The sequence below is a fragment of the Homo sapiens genome, chromosome 17 (genome assembly GCF_000001405.40).
Source record: "Homo sapiens chromosome 17, GRCh38.p14 Primary Assembly".
In the NCBI taxonomy this organism is placed as follows: Eukaryota; Metazoa; Chordata; class Mammalia; order Primates; family Hominidae; genus Homo; species Homo sapiens.
This window is the reverse complement of record NC_000017.11, coordinates 70,438,978-70,464,960: the sequence shown is the minus strand read 5'-3', so window position 1 is coordinate 70,464,960 and position 25,983 is coordinate 70,438,978. Positions and strand designations below refer to the sequence as shown.

Below are 25,983 nucleotides of genomic sequence, written 5' to 3'. Positions count from 1 at the left end.
TTTAGGGTACATGTGCACATTGTGCAGGTTAGTTACATATGTATACATGTGCCATGCTGGTGCGCTGCACCCACTAATGTGTCATCTAGCATTAGGTATATCTCCCAATGCTATCCCTCCCCCCTCCCCCGACCCCACCACAGTCCCCAGAGTGTGATATTCCCCTTCCTGTGTCCATGTGATCTCATTGTTCAATTCCCACCTATGAGTGAGAATATGCGGTGTTTGGTTTTTTGTTCTTGCGATAGTTTACTGAGAATGATGGTTTCCAATTTCATCCATGTCCCTACAAAGGATATGAACTCATCATTTTTTATGGCTGCATAGTATTCCATGGTGTATATGTGCCACATTTTCTTAATCCAGTCTATCATTGTTGGACATTTGGGTTGGTTCCAAGTCTTTGCTATTGTGAATAGTGCCGCAATAAACATACGTGTGCATGTGTCTTTATAGCAGCATGATTTATACTCATTTGGGTATATACCCAGTAATGGGATGGCTGGGTCAAATGGTATTTCTAGTTCTAGATCCCTGAGGAATCGCCACACTGACTTCCACAATGGTTGAACTAGTTTACAGTCCCACCAACAGTGTAAAAGTGTTCCTATTTCTCCGCATCCTCTCCAGCACCTGTTGTTTCCTGACTTTTTAATGATTGCCATTCTAACTGGTGTGAGATGATATCTCATAGTGGTTTTGATTTGCATTTCTCTGATGGCCAGTGATGATGAGCATTTCTTCATGTGTTTTTTGGCTGCATAAATGTCTTCTTTTGAGAAGTGTCTGTTCATGTCCTTCGCCCACTTTTTGATGGGGTTGTTTGTTTTTTTCTTGTAAATTTGTTTGAGTTCATTGTAGATTCTGGATATTAGCCCTTTGTCAGATGAGTAGGTTGCAAAAATTTTCTCCCATGTTGTAGGTTGCCTGTTCACTCTGATGGTAGTTTCTTTTGCTGTGCAGAAGCTCTTTAGTTTAATTAGATCCCATTTGTCAATTTTGTCTTTTGTTGCCATTGCTTTTGGTGTTTTGGACATGAAGTCCTTGCCCACGCCTATGTCCTGAATGGTAATGCCTAGGTTTTCTTCTAGGGTTTTTATGGTTTTAGGTTTAACGTTTAAATCTTTAATCCATCTTGAATTGATTTTTGTATAAGGTGTAAGGAAGGGATCCAGTTTCAGCTTTCTACATATGGCTAGCCAGTTTTCCCAGCACCATTTATTAAATAGGGAATCCTTTCCCCATTGCTTGTTTTTCTCAGGTTTGTCAAAGATCAGATAGTTGTAGATATGCGGCATTATTTCTGAGGGCTCTGTTCTGTTCCATTGATCTATATCTCTGTTTTGGTACCAGTACCATGCTGTTTTGGTTACTGTAGCCTTGTAGTATAGTTTGAAGTCAGGTAGTGTGATGCCTCCAGCTTTGTTCTTTTGGCTTAGGATTGACTTGGCAATGCGGGCTCTTTTTTGGTTCCATATGAACTTTAAAGTAGTTTTTTCCAATTCTGTGAAGAAAGTCATTGGTAGCTTGATGGGGATGGCATTGAATCTGTAAATTACCTTGGGCAGTATGGCCATTTTCACGATATTGATTCTTCCTACCCATGAGCATGGAATGTTCTTCCATTTGTTTGTCTCCTCTTTTATTTCCTTGAGCAGTGGTTTGTAGTTCTCCTTGAAGAGGTCCTTCACATCCCTTGTAAGTTGGATTCCTAGGTATTTTATTCTCTTTGAAGCAATTGTGAATGGGAGTTCACCCATGATTTGGCTCTCTGTTTGTCTGTTGTTGGTGTATAAGAATGCTTGTGATTTTTGTACATTGATTTTGTATCCTGAGACTTTGCTGAAGTTGCTTATCAGCTTAAGGAGATTTTGGGCTGAGACGATGGGGTTTTCTAGATAAACAATCATGTCGTCTGCAAACAGGGACAATTTGACTTCCTCTTTTCCTAATTGAATACCCTTTATTTCCTTCTCCTGCCTGATTGCCCTGGCCAGAACTTCCAACACTATGTTGAATAGGAGCGGTGAGAGAGGGCATCCCTGTCTTGTGCCGGTTTTCAAAGGGAATGCTTCCAGTTTTTGCCCATTCAGTATGATATTGGCTGTGGGTTTGTCATAGATAGCTCTTATTATTTTGAAATACGTCCCATCAATACCTAATTTATTGAGAGTTTTTAGCATGAAGGGTTGTTGAATTTTGTCAAAGGCTTTTTCTGCATCTATTGAGATAATCATGTGGTTTTTGTCTTTGGCTCTGTTTATATGCTGGATTACATTTATTGATTTGCGTATATTGAACCAGCCTTGCATCCCAGGGATGAAGCCCACTTGATCATGGTGGATAAGCTTTTTGATGTGCTGCTGGATTCGGTTTGCCAGTATTTTATTGAGGATTTTTGCATCAATGTTCATCAAGGATATTGGTCTAAAATTCTCTTTTTTGGTTGTGTCTCTGCCCGGCTTTGGTATCAGAATGATGCTGGCCTCATAAAATGAGTTAGGGAGGATTCCCTCTTTTTCTATTGATTGGAATAGTTTCAGAAGGAATGGTACCAGTTCCTCCTTGTACCTCTGCTAGAATTCGGCTGTGAATCCATCTGGTCCTGGACTCTTTTTGGTTGGTAAACTATTGATTATTGCCACAATTTCAGAGCCTGTTATTGGTCGATTCAGAGATTCAACTTCTTCCTGGTTTAGTCTTGGGAGAGTGTATGTGTCGAGGAATGTATCCATTTCTTCTAGATTTTCTAGTTTATTTGCGTAGAGGTGTTTGTAGTATTCTCTGATGGTAGTTTGTATTTCTGTGGGATCGGTGGTGATATCCCCTTTATCATTTTTTATTGTGTCTATTTGATTCTTCTCTCTTTTTTTCTTTATTAGTCTTGCTAGCGGTCTATCAATTTTGTTGATCCTTTCAAAAAACCAGCTCCTGGATTCATTGATTTTTTGAAGGGTTTTTTGTGTCTCTATTTCCTTCAGTTCTGCTCTGATTTTAGTTATTTCTTGCCTTCTGCTAGCTTTTGAATGTGTTTGCTCTTGCTTTTCTAGTTCTTTTAATTGTGATGTTAGGGTGTCAATTTTGGATCTTTCCTGCTTTCTCTTGTAGGCATTTAGTGCTATAAATTTCCCTCTACACACTGCTTTGAATGCGTCCCAGAGATTCTGGTATGTGGTGTCTTTGTTCTCGTTGGTTTCAAAGAACATCTTTATTTCTGCCTTCATTTCGTTATGTACCCAGTAGTCATTCAGGAGCAGGTTGTTCAGTTTCCATGTAGTTGAGCGGCTTTGAGTGAGATTCTTAATCCTGAGTTCTAGTTTGATTGCACTGTGGTCTGAGAGATAGTTTGTTATAATTTCTGTTCTTTTACATTTGCTGAGGAGAGCTTTACTTCCAACTATGTGGTCAATTTTGGAATAGGTGTGGTGTGGTGCTGAAAAAAATGTATATTCTGTTGATTTGGGGTGGAGAGTTCTGTAGATGTCTATTAGGTCTGCTTGGTGCAGAGCTGAGTTCAATTCCTGGGTATCCTTGTTGACTTTCTGTCTCGTTGATCTGTCTAATGTTGACAGTGGGGTGTTAAAGTCTCCCATTATTAATGTGTGGGAGTCTAAGTCTCTTTGTAGGTCACTGAGGACTTGCTTTATGAATCTGGGTGCTCCTGTATTGGGTGCATAAATATTTAGGATAGTTAGCTCCTCTTGTTGAATTGATCCCTTTACCATTATGTAATGGCCTTCTTTGTCTCTTTTGATCTTTGTTGGTTTAAAGTCTGTTTTATCAGAGACTAGGATTGCAACCCCTGCCTTTTTTTGTTTTCCATTGGCTTGGTAGATCTTCCTCCATCCTTTTATTTTGAGCCTATGTGTGTCTCTGCACGTGAGATGGGTTTCCTGAATACAGCACACTGATGGGTCTTGACTCTTTATCCAACTTGCCAGTCTGTGTCTTTTAATTGCAGAATTTAGTCCATTTATATTTAAAGTTAATATTGTTATGTGTGAAGTTGATCCTGTCATTATGATGTTAGCTGGTGATTTTGCTCATTAGTTGATGCAGTTTCTTCCTAGTCTTGATGGTCTTTACATTTTGGCATGATTTTGCAGCGGCTGGTACCGGTTGTTCCTTTCCATGTTTAGCGCTTCCTTCAGGAGCTCTTTTAGGGCAGGCCTGGTGGTGACAAAATCTCTCAACATTTGCTTGTCTATAAAGTATTTTATTTCTCCTTCACTTATGAAGCTTAGTTTGGCTGGATATGAAATTCTGGGTTGAAAATTCTTTTCTTTAAGAATGTTGAATATTGGCCCCCACTCTCTTCTGGCTTGTAGGGTTTCTGCCGAGAGATCCGCTGTTAGTCTGATGGGCTTTCCTTTGAGGGTAACCCGACCTTTCTCTCTGGCTGCCCTTAACATTTTTTCCTTCATTTCAACTTTGGTGAATCTGACAATTATGTGTCTTGGAGTTGCTCTTCTCGAGGAGTATCTTTGTGGCGTTCTCTGTATTTCCTGAATCTGAACGTTGGCCTGCCTTGCTAGATTGGGGAAGTTCTCCTGGATAATATCCTGCAGAGTGTTTTCCAACTTGGTTCCATTCTCCACATCACTTTCAGGTACACCAATCAGACGTAGATTTGGTCTTTTCACATAGTCCCATATTTCTTGGAGGCTTTGCTCATTTCTTTTTATTCTTTTTTCTCTAAACTTCCCTTCTCGCTTCATTTCATTCATTTCATCTTCCATTGCTGATACCCTTTCTTCCAGTTGATCGCATCGGCTCCTGAGGCTTCTGCATTCTTCACGTAGTTCTCGAGCCTTGGTTTTCAGCTCCATCAGCTCCTTTAAGCACTTCTCTGTATTGGTTATTCTAGTTATACATTCTTCTAAATTTTTTTCAAAGTTTTCAACTTCTTTGCCTTTGGTTTGAATGTCCTCCCGTAGCTCAGAGTAATTTGATCGTCTGAAGCCTTCTTCTCTCAGCTCATCAAAATCATTCTCCATCCAGCTTTGTTCTGTTGCTGGTGAGGAACTGCGTTCCTTTGGAGGAGGAGAGGCGCTCTGCGTTTTAGAGTTTCCAGTTTTTCTGTTCTGTTTTTTCCCCATCTTTGTGGTTTTATCTACTTTTGGTCTTTGATGATGGTGATGTACAGATGGGTTTTCGGTGTAGATGTCCTTTCTGGTTGTTAGTTTTCCTTCTAACAGACAGGACCCTCAGCTGCAGGTCTGTTGGAATACCCTGCCGTGTGAGGTGTCAGTGTGCCCCTGCTGGGGGGTGCCTCCCAGTTAGGCTGCTCGGGGGTCAGGGGTCAGGGACCCACTTGAGGAGGCAGTCTGCCCGTTCTCAGATCTCCAGCTGCGTGCTGGGAGAACCACTGCTCTCTTCAAAGCTGTCAGACAGGGACACTTAAGTCTGCAGAGGTTACTGCTGTCTTTTTGTTTGTCTGTGCCCTGCCCCCAGAGGTGGAGCCTACAGAGGCAGGCAGGCCTCCTTGAGCTGTGGTGGGCTCCACCCAGTTCGAGCTTCCCTGCTGCTTTGTTTACCTAAGCAAGCCTGGGCAATGGCGGGCGCCCCTCCCCCAGCCTCGTTGCCGCCTTGCAGTTTGATCTCAGACTGCTGTGCTAGCAATCAGCGAGATTCCGTGGGCGTAGGACCCTCCGAGCCAGGTGTGAGATATAGTCTCGTGGTGCGCCGTTTCTTAAGCCGGTCTGAAAAGCGCAATATTCGGGTGGGAGTGACCCGATTTTCCAGGTGCGTCCGTCACCCCTTTCTTTGACTCGGAAAGGGAACTCCCTGACCCCTTGCGCTTCCCAGGTGAGGCAATGCCTCGCCCTGCTTCGGCTCGCGCACGGTGCGCACACACACTGGCCTGCGCCCACTGTCTGGCACTCCCTAGTGAGATGAACCCGGTACCTCAGATGGAAATGCAGAAATCACCGTCTTCTGCGTCGCTCACGCTGGGAGCTGTAGACCGGAGCTGTTCCTATTCGGCCATCTTGGCTCCTCCCCCCACAAAATCTTGTAGAATAACAATATATGGAAAGAAAATATTTTTGTACAGCTGACCATGTGTTTGTGTTTTAAGCTAAGCGTTATTACAAAAGAGTGAAAAAGCTTTAAAAATTAAAACATTGATAAAGTAAAAATAAGTTGCAGTAGTGATATGGCTTGGCTCTGTGTCCCCACCCAAATCTCATCTTGTAGCTTCCATAATTCCCACGTGGTGTGGGAGGGATCCAGTGAAAGGTGATTGAATCATGGGGGCAGGTCTTTCCCATGCTGTTCTCGTGATGGTGAATGGGTCTCATGAAATCTGATGGTTTTAAAAATGGGAGTTTCTCTTCACAAGCTCCTATTTTGCCTGCCACCATCCATGTAAGATGTGACTTGCTCCTCCTTGCCTTCCACCATGATTGTGAGGCCTCTGCAGCCATGTGGAATTGGAAGTCTAATTAAACCTCTTTCTCTTGTAAATTGCCCAGTCTCGGTATGTCTTTATCAGCAGCATGAAAACAGACTATTACAAGTGGCTAATTTATTATTGAGGAAGAAAAATACTCTTAATTTAGTGTTGCCTAAGTGTACAATGTTTGTAATGTCTACAGTACTGTATAGCAATATTGTAGGCCTTCGCATTCACTCACCACCTACTCACTGACTCACACAAAACAACTTCCAGTTTTGTAACCTCCATTTATGTTAAGTGGTCTATACAGGTGTACCATCTTTTATACCATATTTTTACTTTACCTTTTTAATGTTTTGATATGTTTACATATATAAACACTTACCATTGTGTTACAATTGTCTGCAGTATTCAGTACAGTAACGTACTGCATAGGTTTGTAGCCTAGGAGCCATAGACTATACCGTACAGCCTAGATGTGTAATAGGCTATACCATCTAGGTCTGTGTGAGTACGCTCTATGATGTTTGCACAACAAGGGAATCACCTAAACAACACGTTTCTCAGAGTGTGTCCCTGTTGTTAAATGATGCATAATTGTACACACATACATACACACATATATGTGTACATACTATAATGGTTAATTTTATGTGTTAATTTGATGGGGCTAAAGAATGCTCAGATGGCTGGAAAAATGTTACATCTAAGTATCTCTGTGTGCGTGTTTCTAGAAGAGATCAGCATTTGAGTCAGTAAATTGAGTACAGAAGATCTGTTGTCACCAATACTGATGGGCAGCATCTAATCTACTGAGGGCCCAAATAGAACAAAAATGCAGAATAAGGACAAATCCTCTTTCTCTCTCTCCTCTTGAGCTGAGAAATCCATTTCTTCTTTCCTTGGACATTGAACCACCCGGTCCTTGGGCCTTTGGACTCTGGCTTACACCAGTGCTTCCCCCAGTCCCCATTTTTAAAGTCTTTGGACTTGGACTGAATTACAACTCCACCAGATTTCCTCTTTCTTTGGCCTGCAAATGGCATATCATGGGACTTCTTGGCCTGCATAATTGTGTGAACCAATCCCCACAATGAATTCTCTCTGTCTGTGTGTCTATCCATCTAGCTATCTCCTATTGGTTCTGTTTCTCTGAGAACCCTGACTAATGTGAGTGGTTATCTTGGTGGCAAGTGAAAAGGGAGGGCCAGTAGCTCTGCTAGCTTAAATTTGAATAGCTAGACATTAAACAAGGAGCTCCAGTAAGTAAGGCAGACTTAATGGGATTGGTAAATGTTCTGCATAACCAGCTTTAACCAGAAGTTGTGTGCGTGTGCAGTAGAGGCTAGAGTGAACTCAAGCAACTCACATATCCCTGGCTTATGAAGCCAGTGCACATGCTCAGGAGACACACAAGTGAGCTCGATGGAAAGTAAAATGGGCAGACTTCTTAAAACAGCCTGATGTTTGAACGTGCTCTCCAGCCCATACAGAGTCATCAGCAGGCAGTGGAAAGCTTTCCTGGCTTTAGCTGTTTGAATGTAACCTCTAACTAATCTTCAGCAGAACAGTAAACTGTGCAGACACCGGGCCACCCCAGGAAAAAAGGCTTAAACATAAAAACCAGACAAAATAATAACATCAGAAAAAAATTCCAGTAGAAACAGCAGCCATACATTTTGGCAGAGACAGACCTCTCCGATTTAAAAATGAGAAACAAATAAAAGCCAAAAAAACACTAATGAAGGAAAAAAGTAAAAATCAATAGCAAATATTAAAAGAATCAAAAAGCAATATTATACTGCTATATTATCTAAAAATATAATCCTCAATTAAAATTATGTGAAGAAGAAAGTGTGACTCATACTCAGGAAAAAACAAAGCAATCAATGGAAAATGTGTGACTGAACACCCCACCACCACCAACCCACTGATTTTGGATTTAGCAAAGACGTCAAAGGACCTATGTTAAACATATGTTAAAATAACTTTATAGTATGGCTATTTTCATGATATTGATTTTTCCTATCCATGAGCATGGAATGTATTTCCATTTATTTGTGTCCTCTCTGATTTCCTTGAGCAGTGGTTTGTAGTTCTCCTTGAAGAGGTCTTTTATTTCTCTTGTTAGCTCTATTCCTAGGTATTTTATTCTCTTTGTAGCAATTGTGAGTGGGAATTCATTCATGATTTGGCTTTCTGCTTGTCTACTGTTGGTGTATAGAAAAGAAGACATTTATGTGGCCAAAAAACATGAAAAAAGCTCAGTATCACTGATCACTAGAGAAATGCAAATCAAAAGCACAGTGAGATACCATCTCACACCAGTCAGAATGGCAATTATTAAAACATCAAGAAACAACAGATGCTGGTGAGGCTGTGGAAACAGGAACACCTTTACACTTTTGGAGGGAATATAAATCAGTTCAACCATTGTGGAAGACAGTGTGGTGATTTCTGAAAGACCTAAAACCAGAAACACTATTTGACCCAGCAATTCCATTACTGGCTACTCACCCAAAGGAATATAAATCATTCTACTATAAATGAACATGCACGTGTATTTGATTGCAGCACCATTTACAATAGCAAAGACATGGAATCAACCCAAATATCCATCGATGAAGACTGGATAAAGAAAATGTGGTACATATACACCATGGAATACTATGCAGCCATAAAAGGAATGAAGTCATGTCCTTTGCAGGGACATCGATGGAGCTGGAAGCCATTATCCTCAGCAAACTATTGCAGGAACAGAAAAGCAAACACCACATGTTCTCACTTAAAAGTGGGAGCTGAATAATGAGAACGCATGGACACAAGGAGGGGAGCAATGCACACCGGGGCCTGTCAGTGGGTGGGGAGAGGGGTAGGGAGGGTGCCAGGAAAAATAGCTAATACCTAGGTGGGCTTAATACCTAGGTGATGATGGGTTGACAGGTGCAGCAAACCATCATGGCACACATTTACCTGTGTCACAAACCTGCACATCCTGCACATGTATCCTGGAACTTAAAATAAAATAAAACAAAATAAAAATAAATAAAGTAACTCTAAAAAGCATGTTTAAAGAATTAAAGGCAAGTCTAATGATAATGACTCAATGAATAGAAGCTCTTATGAAAGAGATAACAATTACAAAAAGCAAATGGAAATTTTGATGTGAAAAGTAAAAGGAAAAATTCAAAAGAAGCTCCATTAATGATTCATGTGGTCAGGAAAAAAAGAACCAATCATTCTGAAGACAGATCAGTATAAACTATCTGAAAATAAAACAGAAGAAAAACCAGGAAAAATAAACAGAATCTCAGAGATCTGTGGAACATTATTAGGCATACATATGTGTAATAGGAGTCCCATAACAAAAGAAGAGGGTGAAAGCAGGGAAGTATTTGAAGAAATAATGGCCCCAAATTCCCAAAATGTAAGGAAAGTCAATAATCTGCCAACCCAAGAAGCTCAGTTAACCCTTCTTTTCTTCTTCCCTCCCTCCATCCCTCTGTCCCTCCCTCCCTTCCTTCCTTCCCTTCCTTTCCTTCCTTCCTCCCTCCCTCCTTCCTTTCCTCCATCCCTCCCTTCCTTCCTTTTCTTTCTTTCTTCCTTCTTTCCTTTTCTTTTCTTTTTGTTTCTTCCTTTCTTTTCCCTTCCTTCCTTCTTCTTTCCTTCTTTCTTTTCTTTCTTTCTTTCTCTCTCTCTTTTAATGTAAACTTTACATTTTTATAGGCATCTGTAAAATAATTCAGGCACGTATACCAGGCTTACAACTATTTGCAAAATATGTAGGCAGATATATTATTGGATCAAAACACTCAATGTCAAAGAAATAGCTATTGAAGAGGTAAGATCATGGTACATCTGTTTATCTGTTTCCACTGGACATTACCACCAGCTTTTCCTAACGTTTCCTCTTCAATGCAGAGGAGGAACTGGGAGCTACATTTTCCAGAATTTGCTTATGCATATGGTTCCTGAAATAGAGCTAGAGTTTATGAAAGGCAGAGGTTGAAGTCCAGTTGGGAAGTCTGGAAAGAATAAGAGGCAGGCGGATACGGGACTAGACAGAATGTTTGAAGCGGTTTCCAAGTGAACTTTTGATAATCATCCACATTGGAGCCTCAGACTGATAAAAGTACATTAGGAGATACCCAGGAGTTCTTGAGATTTGCAGAAATTTTATGTTAAGCTATTGAGAATCACTTACTTTGATGCTGAAGCTAAGACTTTGGATAATAGTTTCTTTAGGCTTCATTTGTCTACCCCTTCACTAGTTGTTTAAGCCTCTAATCTCTTATATTAAAACTCTTCATAATTTGAAAAAATGCAATAATACTTCAGTCTTAAAATCATAGTTTATTTTACATTCACATAATTCATACAATCCCTCAATTGTTAGAATGCCTCTAAGTCACCATTACAGGAATAACCATCACTATACTTTCCACATGTAGGATAGAAAACTCCATTTCAATAAAGATAAGATCTCCAGATCTTGTAACGAATGCCATCCTTAAAATGAGGCAACTTAAGTCACCATATTTTTTTCTCCTGGAGAATATTTATTTTTTCTAAACATAGTATACAAATGGCTGCTCTAATTCTTCACTTCATTTTATCTCACCATGTAAATTTTGGCCACAGGAGTTTTTTTTTTTTTTTAACTATTTGAATTTACCCAGAGATGCTAATTTTGGAGATGACTAGAGCTAGATATAAGCAAGTAGCAAAGGCAAAAATCTGAGTTCTACAAAAGGTACAGGTTTTAAAATAAAACCCATTGGTGAGAATTAAAATTCCTTTTTCCACAATATTTTAAAATACATTTAAATTTTCAATGTCCTGTAACTATCAACTCTGTTTCATTTGCCATCTCTGTATTAGAATGCAAGTGAAGAGAAGGCAGATGTTGATGCGTTTGTGTTAGAGAAATGCATAGGCAATAACCAGAATAAACACTCCATAACGCATCTACTCATTGCCAGCTTCTATGAAAAGGAATGCTATTATTGTAACTCTGTTGCTTAATAATTTTGAATAATTAATAATTTATAAAGTTCTTGAATTCTCAAAGCTAGTACTTTATTCCTTCATCATAGTGTGATAGAAACTGAGGTAATAAAAAGGTGTTTTTTCAATGACTTAAGGACAATGTGCAAGGAAAAATCTATTTAACCACTTGGACTTGGAGAATCTGGTCATTACTTCTCAAGACAGGTTGACAGAGGCCAGGCGCGATGGCTCATGCCCGTAATCCTAGCACTTTGGGAGGCCGAAGTGGGCGGATTGCCTGAGCTCAGGAGTTCGAGACCAGCCTGGGCAACAATGGTGAAACCCCATCTCTACTAAAATACACAGAATTAGCCGGGCGTGGCAGCGTGTGCCTGTAGTCCCAGCTACTCGGGAGGCTGTGGCAGAAGAACTGCTTGAACCCAGGAGGTGGAGGTTGCAGTGAGCCAAGATCGCGCCACTGGACTCCAGCCTGAGCAACATAGTGAGACTCCGTCTCCAAAAAAAAAAAAAAAAAAAAAGGTTGACAGAGAGAAGTTAGTAGCATTCTCTTGCAATTGCTATTTATTATGAGCATGTTGTGAAGACTTTTTTTCCCTTTTAAATAGACTTTATTTTCTAGAGTTGTTTTAAGTTCACAGAAAAAAATGAGCAGAAGGTACAGAGATTTCCCATATATCCCTGCCTTCACACACACAAAACTTCCATCACTATCAACATCCTGCATCACAATGGTACATTTGTTACAACTGATCAATCTACACCAATGCAGGATTATCACTCAAAGTCCATAGTTTACGTTAGGGTTACCCTTGGTGCTGTGCATTCTGTGGGTTTTGACAAATATACAATGATGTGTATCAACAATTTATAGTATAATACAGAAGAGTTTCACTGCCTCAAAAAATCCTTGGTGCTTCACCTATTCATCCCTCCTTCCACTTCCCCTGGAAACCACTGATCTTGTTATGGACTCTACAGTTTTGTCTTTTGCAGAATATCGTATAGTCAGGATCACACAATATGTTGCTTTTTCAGATTGGTTTCTTTCACTTAGTAGTATACATTTTAGCTTTCTCCATGTCTTTTCATGGCTTGACAGCTCATTTATTTCAGCACTGAATAATATTCCATTGCCTGTATGTACTACAGTTTATTTATTCATTCAGCTACTAAAGGATATCTTGGTTGCTTCTAAATGTTGGCAATTATGAATAAAGCTGTTATAAGCACCAGGTTGATATGTAGACACAGGTTTTCAGCTCCTTTGGGTAAATACCAAGAAGCATGATTATTGGATTATACAGTAAGCATATGTTTAGTGTTGTAGGAAACTGCCAAACTGTCTTCGAAAGTGGCTGTACCATTTTGCCTTCTCACCAGCAACAAATGAGAGTTCCTGTTACACCAAACCCTCACTAACATTTGATGTTGTCACTGTTCTGGGTGGCCATTAAAAAACAGAGGTTAAGAAATTTTAATGAATTCTAAAAACTTTCAAATTTTGCCATGTTTCTACTTTTCTTTAAATCAGAAAGAATTATAGAAATACCCTACCCTCAATCCTTGTATAAAGGATTGTATAAAAGTAACATATTATCATAGGAATGTCATGTTTCCTACCCCCAAAAACCTAGGAATCCAGGTTATGGTAGTTTGGCTGTTAGGAACTTGAAACAAGTTTGCTTTGTAAATCTTCACATTCTAGAATATTTTACACAGAAACACTAGCTTAAACCTAAAACAAAAAATAAAAAATAAAAATAAAATTAAAAAAACTTCCATAAATTATTAAAAAAAAAATAACCACAACCATGGCTGTTCTGACTCAGTTTGCAATTTATGAAAGATGTCAAAATTTTATCTTCCAGCCAGGAACTATGGCTCATGCTGTAATCCCAGCACTTTGGGAGGCCTAGGCGGGTGGATACCTGAGGTCAGGAGTTTGAGACCAGCCTGGCCAACATGGTGAAACCCCGTCTCTACTAAAAATACAAAAATTAGCTGGGCATGGTGGCAGACGCCTGTAATCTCAGCTCCTCAGGAGGCTGAGGCAGGAGAATTGCTTGAACGTGGGAGGCAGAGGTTGCAGTGAGCCGAGATTCAGCCACTGCACTCCAGCCTGGTCGACAAAGCAAGACTCCCTCTGAAAAAAAAAAAAAAGTATCTTCCCTACCATATATAATTCATTCTCCAAACAGCATAATAGTAGTATAAAATCAATACTAAAAACAAATATTATTATGTGTATATATGTATATATATTTGAAAAAAAAATTCTACAAAGCTATCAGAAACTAACATTAAGAAACATTTAAATCCCAGCTATGTCCAACCCTATTTTGAACACTTCCTTCCAAAAGAGAATGACTAGGCAGGCATTCAGAGCATACTTTATAAGTATCAAAAAGATGTACAAGACCTGCTCAAATAAAAATTACTTTTCTGGAAACTGCATCAGGTATGAATAGGTGGAATATCACTTATCCCCTAAATGGCGTTATAAACCTCAGGCTGGTGTAAATTTAGTAAAATTAGCTTATACATTTAAGGAACAGTGTAAATTGGTAAAGCCCTTTAAAAAACAATTTAGAAATGTATATATGCAGCCATGAAAGATGCAAATTTGTGGGGGGGGGGCAATAATTTCACTCTTGTTCTCTTCCAAAAGATTCAGATTTGAAAATTCTAGAGTGTAAATTAAAATTCTCCCATCCTCCATGCTGCCAGTTACCAAGGCTGTCATGCTATTTGGTGTTACTTCTATTACCTTTCATAAAAGATTTGACTTAGCAAGGAAGCACATTTCTTAACTGCTTCACTTGTAAGTAGGGTAAGTTGTGGTACTTTGCTATTAGAATGACAGTGGTACTTTCAACATTGCCATAAAGACAGATTTTGTATAAGCATAGCTACCATATAGAAAATAGGGCACTTCTGTTCAATGGCCCTCAGAAATCTTTATTTACTAAGGTTTATCATTTATTTATAATTTTTTTCAAAAAAAATCACAGAACAATACTTTGGAAAGAATAAAGTCCAAAAATTCTCAAGGCTGAGCTGAAAATTTTGCCTTCTCAATGGATCCCCTCCCCTCCCCCACTTCCCACTCCCCACTTCTTTCCCTTACCTCTCCCCTCCTCTCCCCTCCCCTCCACTTCCCTCCTTTTATTTTTTGGATAGGGAGCTAGGAATGTGAGGCAATTCATTTAATTTCTTTTATTTTTTTGGTTGAGGGGCTGGGATTGTGAAGGCAAGTCATTTAACCTGAACTTTAATTTCTTCTCCTGTAAAAGGAGGTAACAAAATCCACCCTGAGCAAACTTGTTGTGATGGTCAATAAGCTATTAGTTCTGAACTCACTGTGATTATTCTTAAGAAAGTGAACATTTAAACGTTTCTAAGTAAGCAAACTGGACGTTTTGCAGTTATACTGTGCTTATAAAAAGTGTAGAGAACTGCTGTAGGTACTCAGTGTCCTTAGCAGATTATTCCTTATCATCAAAGCTAGGAAATGGTGCAGAATTCCAAATACAATTGTTTCCATTTTTTTAAATTTATTCTTCCAGGAAAGGCATAGTGTTGCATCTGTCATTAAAAATTAATTAAAATTTTTTTAAAAATCTTAAGAAACATGGGGAGCTAATATGCAAACACAAGTTGTTTTAAATAATTCCCTGATTTCCCCCTCTGCTCTTCAGCTTTAGGAAAGCAATAAAAGGTCTAAATCCTTTGCCCAAGAAAAACTTTCTATCCCTAACGTCCCTTTGACAGTGACATTGAGATTCAACTGTGACGAGGTATATTAGGATGTCTTTTATCATGTAGAGTTGCTGTACTCATTTATGTGGAATCCTAGAGCAGGCTCAGGCAAAGCTCACAGGACATCTTGTTCTTTCTAAAAAGGCTTCAATTAAATGTTGGAAATGTAAAGGCAATAGCTCAGTTCCCTTAGATGTGGCAGTTCTCATAGCTATAGGGTTGGACTCACTGTTCTTTAGTACATAATACCATACTTACAAAGTTATAATTTTCAGGGTTCTAAGGACTGATTTCATATTAAACTGTTTCCATGCATTTGTGTTAAAATAAACACTTTAATTTTCTGATATTTCCAAGGAGCTTCTATATACAGTCTAATGGGAAAAGATAACAAAATTCAATAAATTCAATTAAATTCAATGTAAGAAGGTCCTGGGGCATAAGCCTATCCAATATAATATTGGGAGATAAGGAGAAAGGGTATTGGGAATTAAATAGACCTGATTTCAATATGGACTCTATGAGGCTGTTCTGGTTTATCAGGTGCTATGGGGCTGAATGTTTATGTCCCTCCAACATTCATATGTTGAAACTTAACCCCCAAAGTATTAAGGTGTTGGTTTTAAGAGGTGGTACCTTTCAAAGGTGATGTGGCTTGGCTGTGTCCCCACCCAAATCTTATCTTGAATTCCCATGTGTTGTGGGAGGGACCCAGTGGGAGGTAATTGCATGGGGGTAGGTCTTTCCTGTGCTGTTCTCATGATAGTGAATAAGTCTCACAAGATCTGATGGTTTTATAAAGGGGAGTTTCCCTGCACCATCTCTCTTCTCTTGTCTGCCCCCATGTGAGATGTGCATTTCACCTTCCACCATGATTGTGAGGCCTCCTCAGCCATGTGGAACTGTAAGCCCACTAAAGCTCTTTCTTTAGTAAATTGCCCAGTCTCGGGTATGTGTCAGCAGCATGAAAATGGACTAATACAGAAGGTGATTAGGTCATAAGGGCCCCATCCTCATGAATGGGATGAGTGCCCTTATTTTAGAAAGGCTGAGGGAGCTTGTTTTTTCTTTCTGCTAAGTGAGGACTCAGAAAAGAAAGAGCCATCTGGGAGACCCGGGGTCTTACCAGACACCAGATCTGCTGGTGCCTAGACCCTGGACTTCCCAGCTTCCAGAATTGTGAGCAATACTTTCTGGTATTAAAATTTCTCAGTCAAAGGTATTTTAATACAGTAGTCAAAATGGACTGAGACCCCAGAGATTAAAATTTCCTGGAAAAAAATTTTCAGTGCTAAAACCTGGAAAATTCTAAGCAAATCAGGATGAGTTGGTCACCAAAACGGCACCACTTTCTTGGGCTTATCTCTTAACCTCTTTGAATGAAAACTGTTCTTTCATTTGTTAAATGGCAATGAAGTATACTTTTGTTTCCTTGGGTGATTTTGAAGACGAGATCAAACTAATAACCACAGTCATTTATTACGTGCTGTGTATCACGTTCTGTCAGTATTTATGTCCTTAATTTTATTTAAACCTTAAAGCTTAATAAAGTGGCCAAGGGCTCCATTCTCTCTGCTTGTGTTTGAGTTCTGGCTCCACCAGTCACTAGCTGTATAATCTGGGCACAGCCTCTAGCCTCTAAAACATTTTTCTCAACTGTAGAATTGTAAATCTCAACTGTAAAATGGTAATAGTTTCAACTTCAGTGTTGCTGTTTGCACAGAGAAAACAGACATGATCCCCATCCTATGAAGCTTACTTTTTCATGGGGAGACTAACCCCAAAAACTAAAAAGTAAATAGGTAATTCTGGAATGTGATAAGCACCTTGAAAAAAACATACGTTTTGTAATAGAAAACCACTTCTAATGATGCAGTGGAGGGAGGGGCTACTTTAGAGTGTCATGTAAAGAGAGCCTGTCTGAATAAATAATATTTGTACTAAACTTGAAACATGAGAAATGGACTGGTTATAGGAAGAGCAAGCTGATCATTTCTGGCAGAAGAAATGGCAAGTGAAAAAGGCCTGAGGCAAGAATACTTTTACTGTAGCACAGGAATGTCAAAGAAGCTGGTAAGGTTTGAATGTTGACCAAAGAAAGGAATGCCATGCCATCTTGGGAATATGGTTTGGCAACGAACAGAAGCACTGATATTTAATGACACAAATCATAGGCAACAGAGGATCAGGCCTTCTTTCTGTTTATCCCAGACAGTGAAATAATTCTCAAACAAGCTAGGTAGCCAAGTGTCAGCAACATCTAATATAAAATGGCCCAGAACTATCTACAGAAATAGATACAACTTATCAAACTTACACACGCAGCATTACCTAAGCATTTGGGGAGGAGAGTGGGTGGGATGTGTGGTGTGGGTGAAGGAGCTATAAGAACCCACTCTCCTCTTTCACTTAAATATGCTTAACTCTTTTTACCAGGATAAAATAAAAGCACTGGCTACTTCTGAGGAAGCAAATAGAAATTGATGTTTTGTTTTGCTTTCTTAGAAATTTTTCTGATTTTAGGGCTGGACACAGTGGCTCATGCCTATAATCCCAGCACTTTGGGAGTCCGAGGCAGGCAGATCACTTGAGGTCAGGAGTTCGAGACCACCCAGGCCAACATGGTGAAACTGGGTCTCTACTAAAAATACAAAATTAGCCAGGCGTGGTGGTACATGCCATTAATCCCAGCTACTCAGGAGGCTGAAGCAGGAGAATCACTTGAACCCAGGAGGCGGAGGTTGCAGTGAGCTGAGATCGTACCACTGCACTCCAGCCTAGGAGATAAGAGCAAAACTCTGCCCCAAAAAAAAAAAAATTCTGATTTTATAAACTATGAACTTTAATGCCTCAGGCTTCACTTTTTCTAAAGAAAATATCATTCCATTGCTCCTCTCTCTGCCGAAAAATTAGATTTCCAATAAAAAGCAAATATATGTCTTTTATTATGGAGGTATGTGCTCTTGGGGCTAATATGCAATAATTAGCTCTCCCCTCAGAAATTTACATCAACCAAATATTACAGCAACTGCCATTCCACCACTAGCGATCACCTGAGGCTAACAGAGGATTCTCCATAAAAATGCACATAGTACTAAGTTGACACCTAAAATCTATTTTTAGTTCTAGGCCAAAAATAGATTTTAGGTGTTAACCTAGTACTAAGTTGAAAGTGAGCTGCTCTCTGATGACAACAGTAGGTTGGAAGAAGCTGAAAGAAGAATGAGAAGCATCTTAGAGAGATGGTTTAGATAAAGAGTGCATAAAACACATTTCAGAAAATGAAGGTAGAGAGTGAGTCAGATGGTTCTTAAAATGAGGGCAGCAGATGGGAGATTAAAGGAGATCCAGGGCAAATGGTTAGTGTTTAATTATTCATGTAAAATCTTATTATATCAGGCAAAGCTGTTCTAAGGTTCCTGACAAACTTGAAGTCTCTGATACTGTGATTCTGTGAATTACAAACTCTCATTTCCAAAATCCTCACTGGGTTTTAACCTTCAGATGTTCCTATCCTTTACCAAAAAAAATATTAGTAGCAGTGATTAACATGACCTAGCCATTTCCAGAACCACAGATACACACACACACACACACACATGTATGTACATGTGTATGTTTTTATGTGTATTTTTTGAATATCCGTCATTCTAATACCTGTTTTGACTCTTCTATGTTCTTTTAAAATTTTTATCCAAATGTTAAACACCAATTATTTAGTTAGCTGTAGATATGATAAATCATAGTATGGATTCATTTTTAACTTTTGACTATGATCTAATTTCAGACTTTTAGAAAAGTTGTAAAATTAATACCAAATCTTCCCATAACCCTTCACTCAGCATCCCCTAATTTGAGCTTCTTACATAATCATATTAAAATGATCAAAACCAAGTGTAATACTATCAGTACAATACTCTAACTCAGAATCCCACATCATACGGCTCCTTCATTACTTCCAGCTGTAACAGTGCTTCATCTTTTCTTGTCTTTTGTCATCCTGACACACTTGACGACTACTGGGCATTTATTTTGTAGAATGTCTCTAATTATGAGTTGTCTGAAGCTTTTCATGCTTGGAATAAGGCTATACACTTTTGGCAGAAGTAAAGTTGTGTCCTTCTCAGTGCATCATATCATGGGATTTGTGATACTATGTCTTACTGGGTGATGTTAACCTGATCTCTTCGTTAAGGTGTTATCTGCTGGGTTCATCCACCATAAAGTTACTATTTTCCCGTTGTACCTTAGGCAAGATAATAAATAATCTGAGGAAGATACTTTGAGGCCATGTAAATATTCAGTTCTCAAAAATGTGCTCAACAATTTTAGGATTCGTAGATTGGTCTTGTCTGCAACAATAACTATGGTGTTTGTCCAGTGGTAATTTTTTGCTTTTCCTCTTTTTATATGTATCAATAGAATTTTTCCGTGACAAACAACAGACTCCTTTCTGCAATTTCTTTACTTGTTCAGTTATTCAGATTAGTATGGGCTCATGGATATTTATTCTGTCCTGTGGCTTATGGTCCAATACTATTAGTTGTTTTGTTGCTCAGATTGTTGTTCCATATTTGGCCATTAGAATTCCCTTCAAGTTGGCTCCTATGTCCTTTGCAAATGTCTCATCATTTTCCAAAAACTCCCTTATTATGGCATTGCAAGTTGTTCCAGCTCATCTTGTACTTTCCTGGCCCAATCCCTGGAATCAACCACTTCTGCATTGAGCCCTGGTTCCTTTGACAGAAGAATGGTGTTTAGGGACCAAAATCTGGATGCTAGTTGTGCTCATTGTTCCTGGAGTTTCATTGCTCCCAGGCCTCTCAGCAGAGCTATGAAATGTATGTGTGTATGCCAACCCACACATGCACACACACACACAAACACATCTGTATTTGTGTGTACATATGTGTATCTATGCACATATATTTATGTTTGTGCAGATGTGTTATGTGTGCATATTTGTTATTTGACTATGATGTACACTTAAAGTTGTTATAGAAATGCTAACCCACACTTCTGTGAGAAATATAGAGCATTTGTTTATAGATCTGTTTATCTCTTGACTTACAGAATCCAGTCAAAACATTGTTTCTAAAGTTATTTATGTCAGTTATTGTCTTCTCCATTTCCCCAGTGTGGACTGTATTTGTAATATAGTCAGACTCATTTGGTACTGTTTTATTGCATTTCTAGGTTCTTGCTCTATATTGTGGTTGATTTTAATAAATACATAATTGGGAGATATGTGACATATTACTGTAATTCTAAGAGCCAGAGCTCTACAAAAGAATACACACAAAGTTGTGCTACTACCTCCTCCTCTCTACTACCCCATACTCACTTATCACTTTTTTCTATTACTTTCAATGACCCCTCTTTATGTACCAACTTTTTAATTTCTGGTTTATTTTTTCTATATTCTCTGTTGTGTAAATGAGTAGATTCACGTGTAGTTTTTTCGATTTTCTTCGTTACAAAAACAGTAGCATATGCAAGGTAATAGTTTATGTATTTTTTCCTTATCAGTCTATTTGGAAATCATTCCCCCCATTAGTCCACAGAGATTCTGCACATTTTTTTAAATAGCTTCATTGCCCTTGATTAAGTGGATATACTGTAATTTATTCAATCATTTTTCTGGGTATGGACATATAGGTTTTTGCAATATTTTGCAATCAAACAATGCTGCAAGGAATAACCTTGGATATATGCATTTTTCAGGGTCGGTTCCTAAAGGTGTATCTTCAGGGTAGGAAGATATACCCCAGAATCGGAATTGTTGAGTCAAAAGACAAGTGCATATGTAGTTTTATTAGATAGTGCTAAATTTGCTTTCAGAGTGATTGTGCAAAGTTGCATATTTGTCAGCAAAGCATGGCAATGCCAATTTCCTCATAGCCTCTCTCACAGAGCAGTTATGGGTTCACAGCAAAATTGGACAGACAGTTCAGAAATTTCCTGTATCAGTGGTCCCCAACCTTTTTGGCACCAGGGACCAGTTTCCTGGAAGGCAATTTTTCCACGGGGGTGGACGGTTTAGGGATAAAACTGTTCCACCTTCAGATCGTCAGGCATTAGATTCTTGTAAGGAGCATGTAACTTAGATCCCCCGCATGTGCAGTTCACAATAAAGTTTGCATTTCTATGAGAATCTATTGCTGCCGAGGAACCGATAGGAGGTGGAGCTCAGGCGATAATGCTTGCTGGCCCACTGCTCACTTCCTGCTGTGCAGCCCAGTTCCTAACAGGTCACAGACTAGACCTGTCTGTGGCCCAGGGGTTGGGAACCCCTGCCCCATATAACCTCTGCCTTATAGACGAATAGCCTCTCCCTTGATCATCATCCCCCACCCTAGTGATACATTTGTTACAACTGATGAACCTACATTAATACATCATTATCACCCAAAGCCCGTAGTTGACATTAGGGTTCACTTTTAGTTTTGTATATGGGTTTGGACAAACATACAAGGGTATGTATCCACCATTATGGTATGACACAGAAGTTTCACTGCCCTAAACATCCCCTGTTCTCTGCCTATTCATCCTTCCCTCCCCAAAACCCCTGTCAACCACTGATATTTTTACTCTCTTTATAGTTTTGTCCTTTCAAGAATGTCACGTAGTTGGGATCATACAGTGGATAGCCTTTGAAGATTGGCTTCTTCCACTTAGTAATATGCATTTATGTTTCCTCCATAAATGCATTAATGAGAGTTTTTAGCACTGAATATTATTCCCTTGTCTTGGTGCACCACAGTTTATCCATTCACCTACTGAAGGATATCTTGATTACTTCCAAGTTGCTACACACATTGTGTATAGGATTTTGTGTGAACATGTTTTCATCTCCTTTGGGAAAATACCAAGGAGCGTGATTATTGGATCATATATTGTATGTGACACTATTTTAATGTCAGATAGTCCAATAGATAAAAATGATATCCCTGTTTTAACTTATACTTCTCTAATTATCAGCAAATTTTAATATTCTCTTGAATGTTGGATGCCCATTTTAAATATTATTTTTGAAATTGTTATTTCATATCTTTTTCCTATATCAGGTCATTTGCCCCTAAAATATTTGTTCCTCAATTTTTCAGAATTTTTAATACAAAGAATATTAGCCATTTGTCTTAGATATATGTTGCAATTATTTTCTCCCTGTTTACAAATTGTCTTTTTTGACTTTGCTTTCAGTGGTTTTTGGCATGCAAATTTTTCATTTTTATGTAGGGAAATTTATCAATCTTTCTTTTACTGCATTTTGATTTTGATTCACAGAAAGTCTTCTTTTATACCAAGGTCAAGAAGGAACTCATCCATATTATCATATATAAATTAAACAGTTTTGTTTTGTTTTTTACATTTATATCCTTGTTTTATTCTTATATACGGTATGAAACATAAATGCAGTTTTATTAATTCAATCAAAATGGTTATCCACTTACGCCAGCACAATTAAAAAAAAAAAGACTTTCTTCACCACAGAGATTTGAGAGGCTACCTTTATCATTTATTAAATTTCCATATGTATTCAGTCTGTTTCTGAACTTTCTGTTCTTTCCCACTGGTCTATTTGCCTGTTCATGTACTGATACCACAATTTTTAATTAAGGCAACTTTACATCTGATTGTAGCTAATTCACCTAGTCATTTTTTCCCAATTTTGTGTATATTTTCCTGGATATTTTTGCATTTTTTAATCTAAATAAACTATTTTCAGCTTATCTAACTCTATACATAACTTGCTAAATTTATAGGATTTATAAATTAATTTAGGAAGTTCTGACATACCTGTAATATGTTGAATTTTCCCAAGCAAATGTTTGCAATGTAATTACAAAAACTTGTAATGTTGAATTTTCCCAAGCAAATGCTTTTGCATTTGTTTAAGTCTACTCTTACGTTCTTCAATAGTGTTTAAAATATTTTCTCACATGGGTTTTGCACATTTTTTGTTGTACTTATTCTGAATATTTAATCTTCATTGATTCTACTTTATTTTTAAATCTTTTTAACGTTTAAGCATTTTCATATTGTCATGCGGGGTACATTATAATTATTTCAATAGTTTTGCAATATTATATTAGATTTATGTGATTCTAATGTGAGGAATTTTGCTTCTTCTGACTCTAACTACATATAATGTTGTATTAAGCTACTTTCTATAATTTTTTTCTTATCTTAGGAGAACTTCCAGAAACAGGTTGTTATTTTTTGAAATGCAATTTAAAGGGTTGTATCAATCTACAGTGTCAATGACATTCAATAACTTTTTCAGCTTTTTCATATCTTTAGCATTGATCAAGGATCAATTTTAAATTTTGTTGATAGGGACAAAATATCACTTATTTTTAGCTTTGAATAATTTTGATGTCTAACATTGCTTATCATATTTATGACTTTTCTGTCTTCTAGCTTGAATGGTTTATTAATTTGGTCTAGTTTAAAATTTTTATGGCACTTAATGTAATTTTAAAAGGCTAAACAATTTGTTAAACTTAACCTAATAAATTTGTGCTTAAAAAATCAAATATTTTCCCAGAAATATAAAAACAAAACCATCATTTAAAATGTGTTCTTTAATGTGTGTTATATATAAATATATTCATATTTTAGATATGTGAGTTTAGTTTCAAACTGAAATATAGCCTTTGGCTCCATTCTTGGCCCTTATCAATATTTAGCCTTGTTTTGAGTTACTGCTTCTAAACTACTGAATTTTCTTCTGCATATAAATTATCTGGAAAACTTGTTCATATGAATTATTTCACTTCATTCTGAATCTTGTTTCCCTATTCAGTCAACTGTTAATGTATTAGAGATGAACTGTTTTTGGTCCTTTATTAGTCTGTATAAAATCTAAACAAGTGCTGAAGTTAAAACAAACACCTTGAATGTATGCTCCCTATTATACATGTGATGTGTGCAATCAAGGTAAGTTTTGGAATGTCCTAGTTCTTCTTCACTGCTAGGTAAGTCAGTTAATTATTTGCCACTCTGTCTGTCCCTTAGTCTATGGGTCCCCAAACCTATAAAAATTAGTTGTGTATCTTTAATATAGAGTTAATGCAGTTTTATCTATATCTCTGAACTAAACTTTGCCTAGGATCAGCCTTTATGCCACTCATATCAGAAGGAACAATCTGTTTTGGAAGATTACGGTATTTCAGAACTGAACAATGTGTGTTTTTCATCCCAAAGGACTGAAAATGTCATCTGTTCAAACTGAAATTTTTCAATCCATTACACTGTTAAGCCAAGATTTTTCTGTTGTACACCAAGGTGGAAATACCATGTTTCTACACACCAAGATGAAGGAGAGACTGACAGTTGCGTAGATTTGTTGGAGTGTGTGTATGTGTGGGGTGTGTGTGTGAGAGAAAGAGTGTGCTCACAGGAAAACATTCTTCAATTCACACAGAAGGAACAATAGTTGGAAGTGTTCTTACACACAATAACTTGTGTAGTCGCCAACCAATGTCCTTCAAGAACACTTTCCCATGCTTCTTACCAATAAAGGCTAAGAATTTTAAGCTACCCACGAAATAAATGAATACAAGTATTGAAGCATCTCTCTGCAAATTTATTGCTGGCTTCTTTGTGTTATTACTAATGTGTCATGAGATGATCTGTACTATTAATGTGGCACTGCACATTTGTGTAAGTCTTTATAGTTTACTAATGTTTCGCATAACTCACTTCATTTCATCTTCATAAAACTATCAAGACACTTTATAAACTTGATTACATATTTCAGGAAAAATTATTTATTCATTCACTCATTTAATCATCTATATCCATTGAAGCATTAGTCCATTTAATCATTAAATATTCATTCATTCATCTTTTTCTTCATTCAGTTATTATTTATACCATGCCATATATACAACTGATGTAAGATGACTGGAAATATACATTATTTAGACCAGTGCCTCTTAAGTTTTAATGAGCACATGAATAACCTTGAGAAGCCTGTTCAGATTTGTCATTTCTAATAGGCTACCTGATGCTGTAGATGCTGCTGGTCCATGGGTCATCCTTTGATTAGTAAGGCTTAGATGGTCTTCTCTCTTCTTGAGGGGTCCTTAGGAAAGGAGATATAACACATACTGGACATTCAGTAACTAAAATTAGCTTCCCAAGCTCCCACTTGTGTCTGAGAGAGTGTGGTTTGGGAAGTGTTTAATACTCTTAGACATGGTATGTAATGTTTCTGTATAACAGGATTTTATTTTCAATTCTGTTTTCAAGAAAAAAGTAGATTTGCCAACTAAAGTTGCTATATCCATCCAACTCACCTTCAGAATACAAATAAACACTGAAAATAAACACTGATCCAATAGAGAGACGAGAGTATTCCCAAAGACCACAGTCCTATAATGTTAATCTGCTGCACTTGTTTCAGCAATAAATCGGCAAATATTAAGAAGCATCTGTGGTCAATGAGAATTATCTTGATGCCAGAAACTGTGCTCTCCAAAGCATGTGGGTCACACAGCTTGAATGTCCCAGAGCTACTCTTTATCACCCAGCTCAAGAGCTGGCTCCAGTCACTTAAAGAAGGAAACAGATTCTGAAATCAGCTCTATGTACCTTGTCATGTATTTTTAATAAATATGTGTGATTCTTATCATAGAGGATGGTTTCAGTGAATTGAAAACCACCTGTTATTTTGCTTTTCCTTTTCTTATTGTTGTTTTTTTAATAAAGCTTCATTTTAAAGAAAACTTCTGCCAATTATTACATGTATATGCCTGGAGAGTCACACCCCTAACTGAGTATAAGAATCAAGCTCTGCAGTTGGG

At 38.0% G+C, this 25,983-nt stretch overlaps 1 long non-coding RNA gene across 1 annotated transcript in view; it reads right to left on the bottom strand.

The window, feature by feature from the left end:
- Positions 1 to 25,259, bottom strand: part of LOC124904100 (uncharacterized) — a 62,816-nt gene extending 37,557 nt beyond the window's left edge. The window contains exon 1 of the long non-coding RNA XR_007065977.1: positions 25,182 to 25,259. This is a non-coding gene — a long non-coding RNA (uncharacterized LOC124904100). The remainder of the gene's footprint in view (positions 1 to 25,181) is intronic.
- Between the last annotated feature and the right edge of the window lie 724 nt (positions 25,260 to 25,983).